At 42.9% G+C, this 18329-nt stretch overlaps 1 long non-coding RNA gene and 1 pseudogene across 2 annotated transcripts in view, besides 3 other annotated features; both read right to left on the bottom strand.

Moving 5' to 3' along the window:
* Positions 1-18329, bottom strand: part of GPRC5D-AS1 (GPRC5D and HEBP1 antisense RNA 1) — a 94773-nt gene that overhangs the window by 3845 nt on the left and 72599 nt on the right. The window lies entirely within an intron of this gene.
* HTR7P1 (5-hydroxytryptamine receptor 7 pseudogene 1) lies at positions 13824-18212 on the bottom strand (annotated as a pseudogene). Its single transcript, NR_002774.3, has one exon. The product of NR_002774.3 is annotated as a 5-hydroxytryptamine receptor 7 pseudogene 1 (transcript).
* Positions 16325-16870: an enhancer, noted in NCBI's record as "H3K27ac-H3K4me1 hESC enhancer chr12:13154718-13155263 (GRCh37/hg19 assembly coordinates)". NCBI's record gives its function as "activates a minimal SCP1, AML or CMV promoter by ChIP-STARR-seq in primed H9 embryonic stem cells {active_cell/tissue: H9 hESC(primed)}" and the evidence as "EXISTENCE:reporter gene assay evidence [ECO:0000049][PMID:30033119]".
* Positions 17295-17444: a silencer, noted in NCBI's record as "silent region_4271". NCBI's record gives its function as "represses an Ori minimal core promoter by ATAC-STARR-seq in GM12878 lymphoblastoid cells {active_cell/tissue: GM12878}" and the evidence as "EXISTENCE:reporter gene assay evidence [ECO:0000049][PMID:35858748]".
* Positions 18205-18324: a silencer, noted in NCBI's record as "silent region_4270". NCBI's record gives its function as "represses an Ori minimal core promoter by ATAC-STARR-seq in GM12878 lymphoblastoid cells {active_cell/tissue: GM12878}" and the evidence as "EXISTENCE:reporter gene assay evidence [ECO:0000049][PMID:35858748]".

Here is an 18329-nt window from a genome sequence, read left to right as displayed (position 1 = left end):
ACAAACATGGAAATAATAGAGTAAAATGTGAATGTTATGAAGCTCTACAGTGTATAATCAGCAAAAATTGAGTGGCAACCAAGAGGGAAGGGAGAAAGTAGTAAGTAATTTGATTTCTTCATCATTTAGAGTCAGAAGTAAAAAATATAACTTAAAAATGATAAATTAATAATAAAACCGTAGTACATTTACTAGTTCAAAGGTAAACACTAGGAAGTGAGTAAAGTGGCTAAAATCTAGCAGTAGAAGAGTATTATAGTTTGAATTGTGCTCCTCCAAAAAAGATGTTGAAATCCTAACCCCCAGAGCCTATGAATGTAGCCTTATTTAGAAATAGGGTCTTTCCAGATGATTAAGCGAAGATGAGGTTATTAGGGTGGGCCCTAATCCAGTGTGACTGCCCCCTTATTAAAAAAAAAAGTGGAAATTTGGACTCAGAGACAGCCGCATACAGAGTGAAGACAATGTGAAGACACAGAGAGAATGCCATCTGCAAGCCAAGGAATACCTGAGACCACCAGAAGCTAGGAGAGTGACATGGAACAGGTCCTTCCCTCCCAGCCCTCAGGAGAAACTAACCCTGCTGACACTTTGATCTTGAACTTCTAGCCTCCAGAACTGTGAGATAATAATTTCTGTTGCTTAAACCACCCACATCTTGGTACTTTGTTACAGCACCCCTTACAAACTAACACCAGGAGGGAGGTGGAAGAACAAAGATGCTAATTTTATTGCTGCTCATTGTAGGAAATTAATTGGCCTTATCTCAAGAAATGCAGGTGAATACGGTGTTATAAATAACATAATTATAAAGGAAACCATTTGCACAAAAATACAAATGCTTTAGTGTTGGCACAGGAAACAAAAAACAAAGAGGTTATAAATTGCAAAAATAGAAAATATAACTTGAAATTTTATGACAAAAACCAAACATTTGTCTTGGAATTAATGTGAAATAGCTAAATACACTGTTTAAAAAATCTTCAAATTGGATTGCAAAGCAAAGCTCTGTTTTGGGCACACCTAAAAGAGATGTTCTATTGTCTATTGCTTTGTTCATTTAAAAATGAATCTTTAGTGGCGAGGTAGGGGCTGAGTCAAGAGGAGTATAATACCCCTGAAGATAACTCCAGTACTATATTACCTTTGAATACACATTCTCATCCATCACAAATAAATTTGGAAACTTCTCTGGTAAAGATCATATGCATATGAATGCATCTCTGCACAAGAAAAGTGTGATTTCAGATGTACAGTGCTTTATACAGCATATAGGCAGAGGTGGAATTCTTTGTCCATAGTCAAATATGTGTGCTCAAAATTCAAAAAAATTAAAAATAAAAGGATAGCAAGAGTGTGTCTGAAAAGTCTAACTGTATAAAAGCTGGGGATATGATCTTAATATCAGAGTTAAGAGCAAAAAACATTAACAAGATTTTTAAAGCACTTTATAATGATAAAGGATGTAATGCATAATAAAGATATGAGTTACATGTATCTGTGCACCAAATCACATAGCATCAAAAAGTGATAAAAAACAAACGTTTAGGTGATACAGGGAGAAGCAGGCAGTCTGGGACTCCTTAACCTCTTTTTCCACCCATGAAAGATAAGGTAGATTATTCCATCCTCCACACATTTATCTCTAAAACCCTCCAGAGTTGCTTAAGATTACAACCTAAAGAGAGTATCTGCACTACATGTGAAATGGTATAGTGTTATTTGAAGATAGATTAGTCAAAAATTCATACTGAAACTAAGGAAAATACTTAAAAAAATTTTAAGAAATATAATTGATAAACTAAGAAAGCAGATAAAATAAAATCATACAAAATGCTCAGTTGAAACCAGAGAAGGCAGAAAGAGAAGCCTCTGGCAATAAATAGAAAATAGCTGCAAACAGTTGATATTCATCCAACTATATCAGTAACTATACCGATTAAAAGACAGAGGCTGAGCACAGCGGCTAACGCCTGTAATTCCAGCACTTTGGGAGGGCAAAGTAGGCAGACTGCCTGAGCCCAGGAGTTCAAGACCACCTGGGCAACATGGCAAAACCCCATCTCTACAAAAAATAAACAAAATTAGCCAGGCATGGTGGCATGTGTCTGTAGTCTCAGCTTACTCAGGAGGCTGAGGTGAGAGGATCACTTTAGCCCAGGAGGTTAAGGCTGCAGTAAGCAGTGATCATGCCACTGCGCTCCAGCACTCCAGTCTGGGTGACAGAGCAAGACCCTGTCTCAAAAAAAAAAAAAAAAAAAGACACTGTCAGAATGAATAAGGAAAGCAAGACTATACATTATCTACAAGAAAACCATTCTTATTATAAAGACAGATAGATTAAAAATAAAGGAATGGAAAAAGAAAGAAAGAGAGATAAAAATAGAGATGGATAAACCGTTCTAACACTAATCAAAAGAATACTGGGGGAGCCATATTAATTTCAGACAAACAGACTTCAGAATGAGGAAAATCTTCTGGGATTGAGAGGCACTCTGTAATGACAAAGGGGTCAATTCTCCAAGAAGACATAACAATCCCAAATGTGCCCAAGTCCAAGCTGAATGGAGAAACAGACAAATCCACTATTTATAGTTAGAAACTTCAACAACTTTTTGTTAGTAATTGATAAATCAAGCAGGCAGAAAATCAGTAAGGATATAGTTGACCTGAGCAGCACTATCAATCACTTCATCTAATTAACATTATAGATTATTCCATTCGACAACAGCAGAATACACGTTATTCTTAAGCCCACACAGGACATTCATCAAGATAAACCACATTCTGGGCCATAAGATACACCTTAGCAAATTTAGAAGAATAGAAATCATACAAAGGAATTTATCAGACCACAATGGGATTAAAATAGAAATCAGTAACAGAAAGATAGCTAGGAAATCCCCCTAATATTTGGAAATTAAACAACACACTTCTAACTAACACATGGCTCAAAGAATAAGGCTCAAGAGAAACTCAAAGATATTTTTGTTTTTTCATTTGTTTATTTTAAAAGGTATATTTTGATTATTTTAAAGCACTTTCTTATAGCCATTAATCAGAAAATATTATGAGCTGGGTTTGGTGGCTCATGCCTGTTATCCCAGCACTTTGGAAGGCTGAGGCGGGTGGATCACCCGAGGTCAGGAGTTCGAGGCTAGCCTGGCCAACATGGTGAAACCCCGTCTCTACTAAAAATACAAAAAATTAGCCAGGTGTGGTGGCACGTGCCTGTAGTCCCAGCTACTCAGGAGGCTGAGACAGGAGAATCGCTTGAACCCAGGAGGCGAAGGCTGCAGTGAGCCGAGATCGCGCCACTGCACTCCAGCCTGGGTGAGACAGAGTGAGACTCCGTCTCAAAAGAAGAAAGAAAATATTATTACGAATACCCATAATTGCATGTTAAATTGGTAATTTTGTTGTGCATTTTATATATTTAAAATAAAATGCTTTCCAAATAGAGATTCTCCCAATAGGCATTACTATCTGAACTCTTCCCTGGAATTCTCTCTCACCTTTCCCTGCTAACCTAAAACCTGTTCCATTTTCTTGGTTCACAACCTCCGTTGTTTCCACAACTTCGGCCTCACATTGCTCTCTGCATTTTTCTCTAAGCACGGGTAGTCAGCAAATATGTCAGTTTTTAAGTTATGCAGGCTCAACAACTTATCTTTTATGGGAAGTTTATAATATCTTGAACTAAATGAAAATGGAAATACAACTTATCAAAATTTGTGAGGTGCAGCAAAAATAGTGATTAAAGGGAAATTTAGTGCATGTGTTAGAAAAACAGAAAGATGTAAAACCAATAAGCTTCCACCTAAGAAACTAGAGCAAGAAAGACAATGGAGGAACAGAAGAAATAAAAATTACAACAGAAATCAATGAAGTTGAGCACAGAAAAACAATAGAGGGAATCAACAAAACCAAAGACTGGTTCTTTGGAAAGAACAATAAAATTGATAAACCTTTACCCAAACTACCCAAGAAAAAAAGAGGAGACACAAATTACCAATGTCAGAAATAAAAGAAGGGTTATCACTACTGATCACACAGATATTAAAAGGAGAAAAGAAGAATACTATAAACAACTCTATGCCAATAAATTTGACAATTTAGATGAAATGGACCAATTCCTTGAGAGACACAAACTACCAAAATTCACACAAGGATAAATAATCTGAATAGCTTTAGCTCTATTAAATAAGTTGAATCAATAATTAATAGCCTTCCAAGAAAGAAATCTGAAGGCCCAGATGTTTTCACTGGTGAGTTTGCCAACCTATACTGAAAATAATTTAGCAATATCTATCAAAATTTTAAATGTACATATCCTTTGGCTCAGGAAAATTTTCTTCAGGTATATTTATACATGTGGGATATGATATATTTCGGAGGTTATTCACTGCAATATTGTTCCTATTATCAAAGGATTGAAAACAATGTGAACCTCCATTGATAGGCTCCTTGTTAAGTATTTACGGCACATCCATACATGAAAATCCATACCACTGGGAAAAACGTGAATCATTACTCATATATCACTATGGCATGATTTCCAAAATACATTGGCACATGACAACAAAAGAACAATTTACAGAAACCATAAGTATAGTACATTATCATTTGTGTAATGAGAAAGTAGAGAAAAAAAATATATGCATGTATTTGTATGTCTATGCACAAAAAAACTCTGGAAAAATATATATGAAAGTAATATAACAATGCATACTTTTAGGCTGGGCGTGGTGACTCCACCTGTAATCCCAGCACTTTGGGAGGCTGAGGCAGGTGGTTTCTTAAGATCAAGAGTTTGAGACCAGCCTGGCCAACATGGTGAAACCCGTCTCTACTAAAAATACAAAAATTAGCTGGGTATGGTGGCATGCACCTGTAATCCCAGCTACTTGGGAGGCTAAGGCTCAAAAATCACTTGAACCCGGGAGGCGGAGGTTGCAGTGAGCCGAGATCGTGCCACTGCACTCCAGGCCTGAGTGGAGGAGTGTGACCCTGTCTCAAAAAAAAAAAAAAAAAAAAATGCAACAATGCATACTTCTAAGAAAGGGGAAAGGGTAGCTGAGAAACAGAGTCTAGGAGAAAAATTCTTTATTTCATATCCTTTAGTATATTTTGAATTTTTGAAATCTATATTTTACTTAAAAAAATGAAAAATTTTAAAAGTTACCAGTTTCCCTGCTTACCCGTCCCAGAGATTCTGATTTGGGGCCAAGGAATCTGCATGATTAACAGGCTCTCCAAGTGATACAGCAGATGCAAGAAGCACACTGAGAAACACTGACCCACATCATAGGTCCACATGTGAGAGTAATATAAGAGAAGAATCACAAAGAATTGAGGATTTAGGAGGGAAAAAAGAAAATGTAAGGATGAAGAGAGCCAAAGACAACATCCAGGTGCTGATCCCAAGAGTGGGAAACTTACAACATTGTCCTAAATAAGATGGAAGGGGAATTTTCCAAAATAAAGGACAATACACCCATTTAGATGTCATTGGAGACTGGTTCCTCTTACTGTTCTAGATACAATTTTAATGTGGATTATGTCATCAAAAAGAAATAGCTGACATTAGGCTGAGTGTGGTAGCTCACGTCTGTAATCCCAGCACTTTGGGAGGCTCAGGCAGGTCGATCACCTGAGGTCAGGAGTTTGAGACCAGCCTGGACAATATGATGAAACCCTGTCTCTACTAAAAATACAAAAATTAGCCAGGGGTGGTCGTGAGCACCTATAATCCCAGCTACTCAGGAGGCTGAGGCAGGAGAATCACTTGAACCCTGGGGGGCGGAAGCTACTTCACTCCAGCCTGGGCAAAAGAGCAAAACTCTGGCAAAAAAAAGGAAAGAAATGGCTGACATTACAATTGTTTTGGACATGTCAACAAAGTTCCTCTCCTTTGATTCCTCTTTTTCTCTAAAATTGCTGATTATGATCAACCTCTAAGTTTCAAATAAGCATATCTTATACTTTTTTCCTCTTTGTGCTTTCTCTCTCTTTCTCCTCCCAACCTCTTTTAAGCATATCTCCCTTCTTAAAAAGTTGTACTGGTAGTAGGATGGAATGATAGACACTAATGCACCCACAGTCTCTCTAATAACTGGGTTCATGCTGCCGACCTTCCTCCTAGAGTCTTCTCCTATCCCACACCAACCCACCCCATCCCATCCCATTCATTCAACAAATATATATTGAGAGCTTATGTTTCTGACACTATTCTAGGTACTGAAGATAGAGTTGTGATCCAGAAGATCTCTCCTCTTATGACATGTACAGTTTAGTGGGAAGAAAAAGACAAAAAGGAAAAGAAGCATAGAAATGAATTAATTATTTTCAGATAATGATAAGCACTCTAGGGAGAGGAGACACTTTAGGTTGGGGAGTCGAGGAAGCTCTCTCTGAAAAGGGGATTTGAGACCCGAATGATGAAAAGAAGCCATTCAAGTCAATTTCTGGGAGAAGAAATTCTAAGCAAAGAAACAGTGAATACCTACACCCTGATCTAGAACATACTTGTATTCTTAAGGAATACCAAGGAGATCAATGCAGCTACGGTATAGGAAACTAGGAGAAGGATACTTAATATATTAGGTTAAAGAAGTAGGCTGTGTGTATGTGTGTGTGTGTCACAGCTTATCTCTACACCATTTGATAGTAGGTCCGCTTATCCCCTTAATACCCCTGTGTGTATTTCTTAAGAACAAGGATATTCTCTTACACAACCACAATATAGTTATCAATGTCAGGAACTTTAATATTGATATAATACTTTTATCTAATCTACAGTCTGTATGCTAACTTAATCAATTTAATTCTACTAATGTTCTTTAGAGTATTTTTTCTTGGCACAGGGTCCAGCCCATAATCACAGATGACATTTACTTGTAGTGTCTCTCTAGTCTCGTTTAATTTGAATCAATTCTTTAGCCTTTTCTTGTCTTTTAAGACATTGACATTTTAAAAGAATATAGATTAGTAATTTTATGATATTGAAATAGTTGCTTCAATTTGGATTTTTCATCATTCTTCTCCTTTTTTAGGTTAAGATTCACTTACAGAGCACTTACTATGTGCCAGGCCCTGTTCTAAGTGCTTTGCAATTATTAATCCTCATAACAAGCCTCTGAGGTACACATTATCATTATTTCCATTTTTCAGATGACAGCCCTGAGGCAAAGAGAGAGTAAATAAGTCGCCCAAGGTCACCCGACTTGTAAGCAGGGATTTGAACCGAGGCAGCCTGGTTCTGGAGCCCTTGCCTGTAACCTTCTTCCTTCTCAGTAAACTCCAGCCACACTGGCCTCCTTGCTTTCTTCAACATGCCAGGTATTCTCCCACCTCAGGGCCTTTGCACGTGCCTTTCCGACTGACTTGAAAACTTCTCCCCTAGCTATCTTCTCAGTGATGCCCTCACTTTTTGGGGAGTCTCTGTTGAAATGTCACCACCCTATCTAAAGTGGCCCACACTGACATACGTTGGCCTTCAACACACACCACCTGACCTATTACATATTTATGAATGTGTTTATTTACTGCCTGTCTCCCACGCCGAAATGTAAACTCCAGTAAAGCAGGGGTTTTCGTCTGTTTTGTTCACTGCTACAGTTTAGAACCCCGTAGACTACCTGGGAACTTGGGTAGGTAGTAAATAAACAGTGGTGAATAAATTTAACACAAATCAGTAAATTTAAATCTATAAATTATTTATAAATTTAAACAAATCAGACATTTAGAAATGTTGAACATTAAAGAAGATGACTTTTCATTTTATAATTTAGAAAGAAAGATGAAAGGAAACAATTTCTTAGTGAGTAAATATTGCTGGTACCCTATGTTCTGATGGGAGACAGAAGAAAAAGCATGCCACTGTGGGCAGGGAGTGCTTCAGGGTGGGCCCACCCTGAAGAGGGGAGCATGCCCACAGTCAGACACCCTGGGAGGAGCCCTGTCCTGGATGAGAAATGCTGGTGGAAGCACAGGCAACAAAAGCAAAATAGGCAAATGGGATTATATCAAACTAAAAAGCTTCTGCAGGGCAAACAATTAACAGAGTGAAGAGACAGCCTACAAAAGAGGGGAAAATACTTGCAAACTATACATCTGATAAGGGGTTAATACCAAAAAATGTATAAAGAACTCAAATAACTCAATAGCAATACAACAAATAATCTTATTTTTAAAATATGGCTGAGCGCAGTCGCTCACGCCTAAAATCTCCGCACTTTGGGAGGCTAAGGTGGGCAGATCACTTGAGGCCCGGAGTTCGAGATCAGCCTGGCTAACATGGTGAAACCTGTCTGTACTCAAAATACAAAAATTAGCCAGGCATGGTGGCGCATGCCTGTAATCCCAGCTACTCAAGTGGCTGAGGCAGGAAAATCACTTGAACCCAGGAGGTGGAGGTTGCAGTGAGCCGAGATTGTGCCACTGCACTCCAGCCTGGGTGACACAGCGAGACTGTCTCAAAAAATGAAAATAAATAAAAAATTTTAAAAAAATTTACAGGCAGGCCAGGCGCAGTAGCTCACGCCTGTAATCCCAGCATTTTGGGAGGCCAAGGCGGGCAGAACACCTGAGGTCAAGAGTTCAAGGCCAGCCTGGCCAACGTGGTGAAACCCTGTCTCTACTAAAAATACAAAAATTAGCCGGGCATGATGGTATGCACCTGTAATTCCAGATACTCGGAGGCTGAGGCAGGAGAATCACTTGAACCCGGGAGGCGGAAGTTACAGTGAACTGAGATCACACCACTGCACTCCAGCCTGGGCAACAGAGCGAGACTCGGTATCAAAAAAAAAAAAAAAATAGACAAAGGACCTGACCTGACTAGACATTTCTCGAAAGAAGACACAAATGGCCAACAGGTTTATGAAAAAGGCTCAACATCACTAATCATCAGAGCAATGCCAGTTAAAACCACAGTGAGATGTCACCTCCTACGTCATAGAAAGGTTATTATCAAAAAGACAAAAAAGACAACCAGTGTTGGCAAGGATGTGGAGAAAGGAACCCTTGCACACCACTGGTGGGAATGTAAATTAGTACAGCATTAATTTCCATCCTTTGTGTATTTGGAAAATAGTATGGAGGTTCCTCATGGAATTAAAATTAGAACTACCATGTGATCCAACAATCCCACTTCTGGGTATACATTCGAAGAAAATGAAATCAGTGTTGAAGAGATATCAGCACATCCATGTTCATTGCAGCACTATTCATAGTACTTGACTTGAATCAAAGCTATTGGCTTTGCTTAATGAACAGTACTTCAAGTAGGCAAGATATGAAATCAACCTAAGTGTTCATCAACAGATGAATGGATAAAGAAAATGTAGTATATATACACAATGGAATCCTATTAAGCCATAAAAAAGTAAGAAAATCCTCTCATGTGCAACAACAGGGATGAAAATGGAGGATACTATGTCATGTGAAATAAGCCAGGCCCAGAAAAATAAATACTGCATGATCTCACTCATGTGGACACTAACTTGATCTCATAGAAGTAGAGAGTAGAACGGTGGTTAGCAGGGGCTAGGGCAGTTGGGAGGGGTGGGTATTGGGATCATGTTTGTTAAATGATACAAAATTTCATTTAGAAAGGAGAAGTTCGAGAGATCTATTGTACAACATGGACACTATAGTTATAACAAAATATTCTTGAAAACTGCTGAAAGAGTGGATGTTAAGCTTTCTCACCACAAAAATGATAACTATGAGGGAATGAATACATGAAGTAGCTAGATTTAGTCATCCACAATGTGTATATACTTCAAAACATCATGCTGTACATGATAAATATATACAATTTTGAATGTCACTTAAAAATAAAATATAGGAATGCAAAAATTTAAAAAGCTGACTGGGGGCCGGGCGCAGTGGCTCACGCCTGTAATCCCAGCACTTTGGGAGGCCGAGGCAGGTGGATCATGAGGCCAGGAGATCAAGATCATCCTGGCCAATGTGATGAAACCCCATCTCTACTAAAATACAAAAAATTAGCCATGCATGGTGGCACGCGCCTGTAATCCCAGCTACTCGGGGGGCTGAGGCAGGGGAATCGCTTGAACCTGGGAGGCGGAGGTTGCAGTGAGCCAAGATCACGCCACTGCACTCCAGCCTGGGCGACAGAGCCACATTCTCTCTCAAAAAAAAAAAAAAAAAAAAGAAAAAAAGAAAAAAAGCTGACTGGAAAGGCAGTCTTTGTGCAGACTGCACAAAGGAGAGAGGGGGCAATGTGGAGGAAATACCCCTTCTCTGTGAGCCTTATACTCTTGGGCCAGGACTCAGAAGAGTCTCAGGTGCACCAGAAAATACTACTGCTAAACTGAGGCAGAAACACTAATTATTTAGCCACCATATGTAAAAATCTTAATGGAATAGATCCTCATTACCTTGAGAATAAATTCCAGCCTACTTTATTACATGCAACTGTGTGTTGATGCCTTATTGCCAAATATTATTTGATTTGCCCATGTCTTACCTATAAGGAAAGAATGGTGGTAGCTGTTCTCTCCTGCTTCCTGTTCCATCATTCTCATAACCTATTTCACAGAGAAAATGAAAGCCTTCTGACAGGAGCTCCCATAACTTGCCACCTCCAACCTCCGTAAGTACATAGGCAGACACCCACCTTTTCCTCCCTCTCTCCTCCTATGATGGGAGAGATGTCTAACCACCCATGTTCTTATTCATATCTGATTTTGTTTTTTGTTTTTTGGGTTTTTTTTTTTTAGACAGAGTCTTACTCTGTTGCCCAGGCTGAAGTGCAGTGATGCAATCTGGGCTCACTGCAACCTCCGCCTCCTGAGTTCAAGCAATTATCATGCCTCAGCCTCCTGAGTAGCTGGGATTACAGGAATGAGCCACCACACTGGACTAATTTTTGTATTTTCAGTACAGACGGGGTTTCGCCATGTTGGCCAGGCTGGTCTTGAACTCCCGACCTCAGGCAATCTGACTGCCTTGGCCTCCCAAAGTGCTGTGATTACAGGCATGAGCCACTGCGCCCGGCATCTAAAATATTTTTATTTCTTTCAGAGCTGCTATCTGTCATATGATGCTATACAAGGTTACAATTTGGTATCTTATTGCTACAAAGAGTCTGTGTTTTCAGCCTTAAGATTTAATGTTAATACTGGTCAGTTGTGCCTGAATTCCAAAAGGAGGAAGGTATAATGAGGCATGATGGGACCCCCACTTCCCATCATGGCCTGAACTAGTTTTTCAGGTTTCTTTGGAATTCCATTGGCTGAGACGAGGGGTCCATTCAGTCGAGTGGGGGGCTTAGAATTTTTCTTTCAGTTTATACACACTCAACAGTATTCAATCATAATACCTAATAAATTGCAAAGGAAAATGTCTCACAGCATACCAAATTCTTCAGATAAAGAAAGACACCAAATAGCTGGGCATGGTGACTCATGCCTATTATCCCAGCACTTTGGGAGGCTGAGGCGGGCAGATCACCTGAGGTCAGGAGTTCGAGACCAGCCTGGCCAACATGGTGAAACCCTGTCTCTACTAAAAATACAAAAATTAGCTGGGTGTGCGCCTGTAATCCCAGCTACTTGGGAGGCATGCGCCTATAATCCCAGCTACTTGGGAGGCTGAGGCAGGAGAATCACTTGAACCTGGGAGGCTGAGTTTGCAGTAAGCCGAGATCGTGCCTGGGAGACAGAGCAAGATTCCATCTCAAAAAAAAAAAAAAAAAAAAGGCAAGACACCAAATAATCTGGACTTTAAAATGATGCTTCCCCACAATGCTCTTGAAGCAGCAATGTTCAGCCCTTGGTAGCAGGACAAACTTGACCACTGGTGTGGGGAGAATCTAGCCCTTAACAGTGTATACAGTGCTTTTTATTGCCTGGACTCCTTTAATCCTCCCGACAGCACTGTGAGCTGGCATTATTACCCCAGTGTTGCAGATGTAGAAAGTGAGTTCTGAGGCCAGGTGCAGTGGCTCACACCTGTAATCCCAGCACTGTGGGAGGCCGAGGTGGGAAGATCACTTGAGCCAAGGAGTTTGAGACCAACATGGGCAACATAGCAAGACCCTGTCTCTAAATTTAAAAAAAGAAAGAAAGTGAGTTCTGCAGAGGTTAGGAAATTTGCAGAAGAAATATTCATTACACTGGTAGGACAGAGCCAGATTGGAATCCCCATCTTTTGACCCGATGTTTTCTGATTCCCAAATACTTCCGCTACTTGACCATACTGAGTAATAGAGCCCATTGCACTGTATATAGTTTAGTAACTAAAATAGATGACTAGCTCTAATATCAAGAATGTTTTAAATCATTCCACACTTACTGAGCATCCTCTGTGTGTGGCTAGTGAGGGAAGTGCTAAAGAAAAATAGATCTTGCCTTTTAAAAGATTAGTTTGTTATAAAGGAGGTATGGTTGTGAGCAAAAATACTCAAGAGACCCTTACAAAGCAACCTAAGAATCTCTTATGAACTCCAAGCTGCATGCTATTTCACATTTTAATGTCTCTGGATGCATTTAAAATCAATTGAATGTCATAGTTTACTTAGTAGCATTTGTTTTTTTTCTTGGTGGCACATAAAATAACAGGGCCTGTCTTATAATCAATAGCATCTTAGAGTCAAGGAACTATGAAATAATTAAATGGCAATTTACTTTATAGCAATGAACAAATATTTGTCAAAGGGCAAATATTTTTTGTCTGGAGTTAATAAAGTTAATATCTTTTACCACAAAGCTAGAGGTCAACAGTACCACTATTATTGATTGCCACTACCTGGCTCCGGCTCAACTTCCCCTTGCTCAGGAGGAAAGCACAGCAGGCAATCCCTCAGCTCTGGTTTAGGGCAGCTGCCACAAATTAGTCTGACAATTAGGTTAACAATTTCAAATGACAATGCAACCAATGGGTAAAACATGCATAAAGAATCCTCATAAAGGCCAGGCAGGTTGGCTTAATTTAACCACTTTGGGAGGCGGATGGAGGAGGATCAACTGAGGCAGGAGTTTGAGACCAGCATGGGTAACATAGTGAGATTCCCTTCTCTGCAAAAATGTATTAAAAATTCACTGGCAGTAGTGGTGCACACCTGTAGTCCCAGGTAGTCAGGAGGCTGAGGTGGCAGGATCACTTGAGCCCAGGAGTTCTAGGCTGCAGTGAGCCATGATCGCACCACTGCTCCCCAGCCTGGGTGACAGAGCAAGATCCTCTCTCAAAAAAAGAAAAATAGGCTGGGCAAAGTGGCTCACACCTGTAATCCCAGCACTTCGACAGGCCAAGTTGGACGAATTGCTTGAGCCCAGGAGTTTGAGACCAGCCTGGGCAACATGGAGAAACCTTGTCTCTACAAAAAATAGAAAAATTAGGTGTGCACCTGCAGTCCCAGCTACTTGGGAGGCTAAGGTGGGATGAGCACTTGAGCCAGGGAGTTCGAAGCTGCAGTGAGCCAAGCTCATGCCACTGCACTCCAGCCTGGGCAACAGAGTGAGATCCTGTATCAAAAAAAAGAAAAGAGAATCCTCAAGTAGGCAGAATATTAGAACAAATGAGATGACAAGAGAGTTCAGACAGGACCACACAGTGTTCATGGACACAGTGTTTGAGGGACACTTTCAGAGAAGTCAGTTTCAAGGAGTGAGTCCAAGGGGGAAGCTGGACATTTAGAAAGTATTTGGAAAGCAGTGCCATATGTAGATGTAGATACAGGTCGGAAAAGCCAGGGTGACAGAGTACAAAGCATTATGGACGCTGACAACACAGACATGAGTTCAAATCCTCACCAAGCCACACATTAGTTGTTGCCTGGGAAAGTTACTTAATTGTTTTAAGCCTCAGTTTCCTCCTTTTTATTATTTTTAGTTTTTTCAGCTACAAATAGACTTTATTTGATGTAATGTAATAAAACATTTTCAAGTTTAACAATATGTATCTGACCATAAACAATCACTTAAATTATGAATATAAGTATACGCGGTCACATTAGCAAATCTGCAGTTCAGGAATTTGTACAAACTTTGTCTGAAAGGACAGTGCCTTCTTCCCCTTTCAGGAAAGGCAGCCCTTCCCCATGTGTGGTAAGAAGCAATGTCAATGGGAGTTGGAAGAAGTCCATAATCCATGTCGAAATTCCACTTTATCCTGAGAGGACAGCTTGCTTTATTGTAGAAAAATAATATTCTCTTTCAGTTCTCTCTTATCAAATGAAGGATTGCATTCATTTTGCCCCTTGTAGGTATAGGTACTCTTCTTTTCTCATCTACTGTCTTTCTGTCTCCTTAGCTCATACTTATTACACAGTTCGTTTAAAATATATATAGCTGCAAGGAGACATTTTCTGTTCCCTTACCTGCCCTTCATGTCTACCACTTTTTGGTGGGTAGGGGTGGGAGTCAGGGGACAGAACTGCTTTGGCACAGAGTTGATTTAAGATACAGAGAACAGGCTGGGCACAGTGGCTCACACCTGTAATCTCAGCACTTTGGGAGTCCAAGGCAGGTGGATCAACTGAGATCAGGAGTTTGAGACCAGCCTGGCCAACATGGTGAAACTCCTTCTCTACTAAAAATACGAAAATTAGCCAGGTGTGGTGGCAGGTGCCTGTAATCTCAGCTACTTGGGAGGCAGAGGCAGGAGAATTGCTTAAACCCAGGAGGCAGAGGTTGCAGTGAGCCGAGATCGCACCACTGCACTCCAGCCTGGGAGACAGGATGGGTGAGACACTGCCTCAAAATAAAAAATAAAAATAAATACAGAGAACAAATTTCTAGAAGGAACAGACTGGTGTTCTGGAGCATTTCCCAGGAGTGGTCCAGGTGACCTCCACTTCACACAATTTGGTTTAACACAATGCTGCTCAACAAGAATGAACACGTTTATGCCCCCATCTCCAGAAGCATCACAACCTTTCATGGAAAACCCATTATTCCCACACTATTTCCATATAACATACAGTTATGGACCATCCCATGGGATGGTCCATGGCCCCACTGCACCCTTGTGAAAAATGAGAGTCAAAAACATGCCAATAATCATGTTAATGACAATACAGGTGGGTACCACTCGCACTTCACTGAGATAAAAATCCTCATGGAAGGCATCCCCCTCACGTCTCAGGACCCTTCAGAGCACAAGAAAAAGCTTTGTTCAGGTTGTATGCTGCTCTCCATCCTGAGACCTGTTCCTGAGCCACACCATAACAATAAGTGAATTAACAAAGAAGTACATTTGTGGGGAAGTTACAGGGACCCTGCAGAAAAGCCAAACTATTTGACAGAAGCTTGAAACAAACACTGCTCTGGGAAATCATTTGTATTAGCTGATGACTGGGCTCTGTTTTCTAAAATGGACATGCAACATATTCGATACTATGCTTACCACAGTTTGCTTGGTAAACCCTTCTGTCATACAACAAAATACATTCTTTCTCATGAATGATTGCTGAATATTCACCACGAGACCTAGACTCGGAAGCATGGAAAGTGTGCATTGGAACTTTCTCCCACTTGCATGGATTTGGACATGTGCTAAGAACCTGAAACTGCTTCCTTTCTGGAACTCAATTCTGTCAGTGTGCTTACTGCTGAGATGATCTGCTATCTTAAACTGAGAACACACAATAACACTGATCCACAGAAAAAAGGAGAGGTCACCATCTCCCTCATAAGATATGTTGTACATCAGGTCATGCTGTTTGTCACGTTTTAGCCATCCTAAGAAAGGACAGAAGCTGCATTCCATTCTGCAGTCTTGGCAAATGACTTTCTTCTGTTTCCACCTCTATTTTGCCTTGTTTATTTCATCTCCATTATCCCTCTTTCAGTCATGAATCATGACTTTTTTTTCTACAGTAGTCAGAGTTTTGTAGGACAAACTCAGGTCTCTCTGGCCTCTCAGCAAGCTTCAGGGCTTCATGCATGCCTGCAGCTGAGAGTGTCTGGTTGATATTCTGGTACTGGCACTGGAGCCGGCTGCAATAGGTGGTCCTCAGGTCCCAGTTGAAGAAGGCATAAATAAAAGGGTTAATGAGAGAGTTTGCATAGCCCAGCCATGGAAATATCCTCTCCACCCACAGTGGGATGCAGCTGCAGGCAGTGCCATAGACAGAAGGGTCTGGCTGTCAGGAGGAAAAAGGGCGGCCAGCACATGGTGGAGGCCCAGACGATGATCCCCAAGGTAGTCGCTGCTTTCTGTTTCCGCTTAAAGATGGAGATATTTTTTCCTTTCATGCTTGAGGAGTCTCGAAAGGTTTGCACACTCTTCCACCTCCTGGAACTTCACTGTGCCATTCAGGGTGACTACTGCTGTCTGGCTCCACTCGAGGGAAGCCAGGTAACCTGTGTTAGGCCGCGCTTTTCCTGGCGGCCTTGTAAATCTGTTAGTACATGAAAAGCATGACGCACATGGGGATTAGGATGCCACTGCGGTGGAGTAAATCGTGTAGCCAAAGTCTTGACTGACCAAGCACACCTTATCATCGTTTACATTCTGAGCCCGACCAAAAATGGTAGGTAAAGTGACAAAGGCGGAAAGAAGGCAGACAGAAAGAATCATCTTCGTCATGCATTTCCCCTTCTGCCTCATAGGGTACGTGAGAGGCTTCATGATCCCAAGGTACCTGTCGATGCTGATCACGTACAAGGTCAAGATCCAGGCCGTGCAGCACATGACATTCATGGAGAAGACGTTACAGAAAAAGTGTCCAAAGATCCACTTGCCCCCGATGAGGTCGGTGACACTGATGAAGGGCATGACCGCCATGGCCACCGAGAGGTTGGCCAGCGCCATGGACACGATCAGGTAGTTGGAGGGCTGGCGGAGCTTCTTGACGAAGCACACGGAGATACCACCAGGCAGTTGCCCGCGATCGCAGAGAGATGAGCGTCAGGACAGAGCCGATCACAACTTTCTCGGCCCTTTCTTGATTTGCTCCCCGCGGCCGGAGGCATTGCCCGGGGTTGCGTCCCAGGTGGGCGCCGGGCTGGCCGTCACCTCGGGGGCCCCCGCTCAGCAGATGCGGCGTCCCGGAGACCGCGACCGGTTCGGCGCCACCGTCGGGGCTCAGGTCGGGCAGCCTGCCCCCCACCTCCGGCAGGAGGAAAGAGCAGAGGCGCCCGTAGAGGTCCGGGTGGCCGCTGCTGTTAACATCCATCACTGCGCCGCCGTGTGGCGCTGCCCAAGAAGCCGCCCCACCCCCCTCCCCACCCCCGCGGCCGCCACAGGCTCCGGCTTTCGGCCCCGGGGCTTCAACTCGCCGGTTCCCCTCCGCCCGGCCCAGCTTGAGGCCTGCACCGGCCGCTGGGCAGCGCCAGGCTCGGCCTCGGGGCCCCGCCTGTCCCAGATCCCCGGCCGCTGCGTGAAACGCGAGAGCGCTGCCGAGCGGGGACTCCCTGAGGGAGGGACCTCGGACCCCGACGGACGCCCGGGACGCGCGGGCTCTCGGGCGCTCCGGCGGGGCTCGGCCCGCGGCTCCACAGCCCGCTGCACCCGCGCGGCTCGGAGCAATGGAGGATCAGGCAGCGGCAGAAGCTTCCGTTTCCTCCTTTTTAAATGGCTCCAAAATATTTCTTGTCGGTGGTGTGGAGTAGAGATTTATTGGTAAAATACTTGACAGAAAGCAGGCACTCAGCTGAGTAAATGGTGACAAAATTGGTGAGAAGATTTTTGAACAGGAGTGAACGAGAAAAGCCATGCTTAGAAAAGTCACCTGGAAACTGTGATTTAGAGGGATGGTAGGAAAGAGTGGCAGCAGGAAAGTGGTTTGGATGCTCTTTCAATGGTCTAGAAGAGGTCATGGGGCGGGGGTAGAGGGACAGCTACCAAGACAGGGAGCCTGGCCGCCGCTGTACCAGCGGGATCGAGCCTTCGGGTAGAGGACCGGAGAAGCGTGAGCAACCCGGGGCTCGGAGGTTGGAGCCCAGGCACCTGAGAGAGGACGTTCCCCACCACCGCTGCCTAAAGCCACTCCAGGCGAGAATCGCTTTCCAGGGCCCCAGCGGATAGGTTAGACTCAGAATAAGAGAAGGGGTCTGCGGAGGGGGACGGCCTGAGGCCCGCGGCCGGGTTCCCTCCCCAGACACCCGCGGAAAGCCCGAAAGGAGGCGGAACACGGCCCAGCGGCTCGCCACGGCGGGCCCATCCCTTGCTTAGCCGCCTCGCACCCTCGCCTCACCGCACTGCTGCACTGCTGCACTGCTGCCCTGCTGCCCGCCCTTCGCATCACTGACCCGCCCTCTCTCCGCCCCCTCGCCTCGCCGCCCCGCCCTCTCTCTCCGCCCCTTCACCTCGCCGTCCCGCCCCCTTGCCTCACCGCCGGGCTGAATTGCCGC

Source organism: Homo sapiens, chromosome 12 (assembly GCF_000001405.40).
Source record: "Homo sapiens chromosome 12, GRCh38.p14 Primary Assembly".
Classification (NCBI taxonomy): Eukaryota; Metazoa; Chordata; class Mammalia; order Primates; family Hominidae; genus Homo; species Homo sapiens.
Note: the sequence above shows the minus strand (reverse complement) of the source record. Positions and strands in the feature narration are given on the sequence as shown.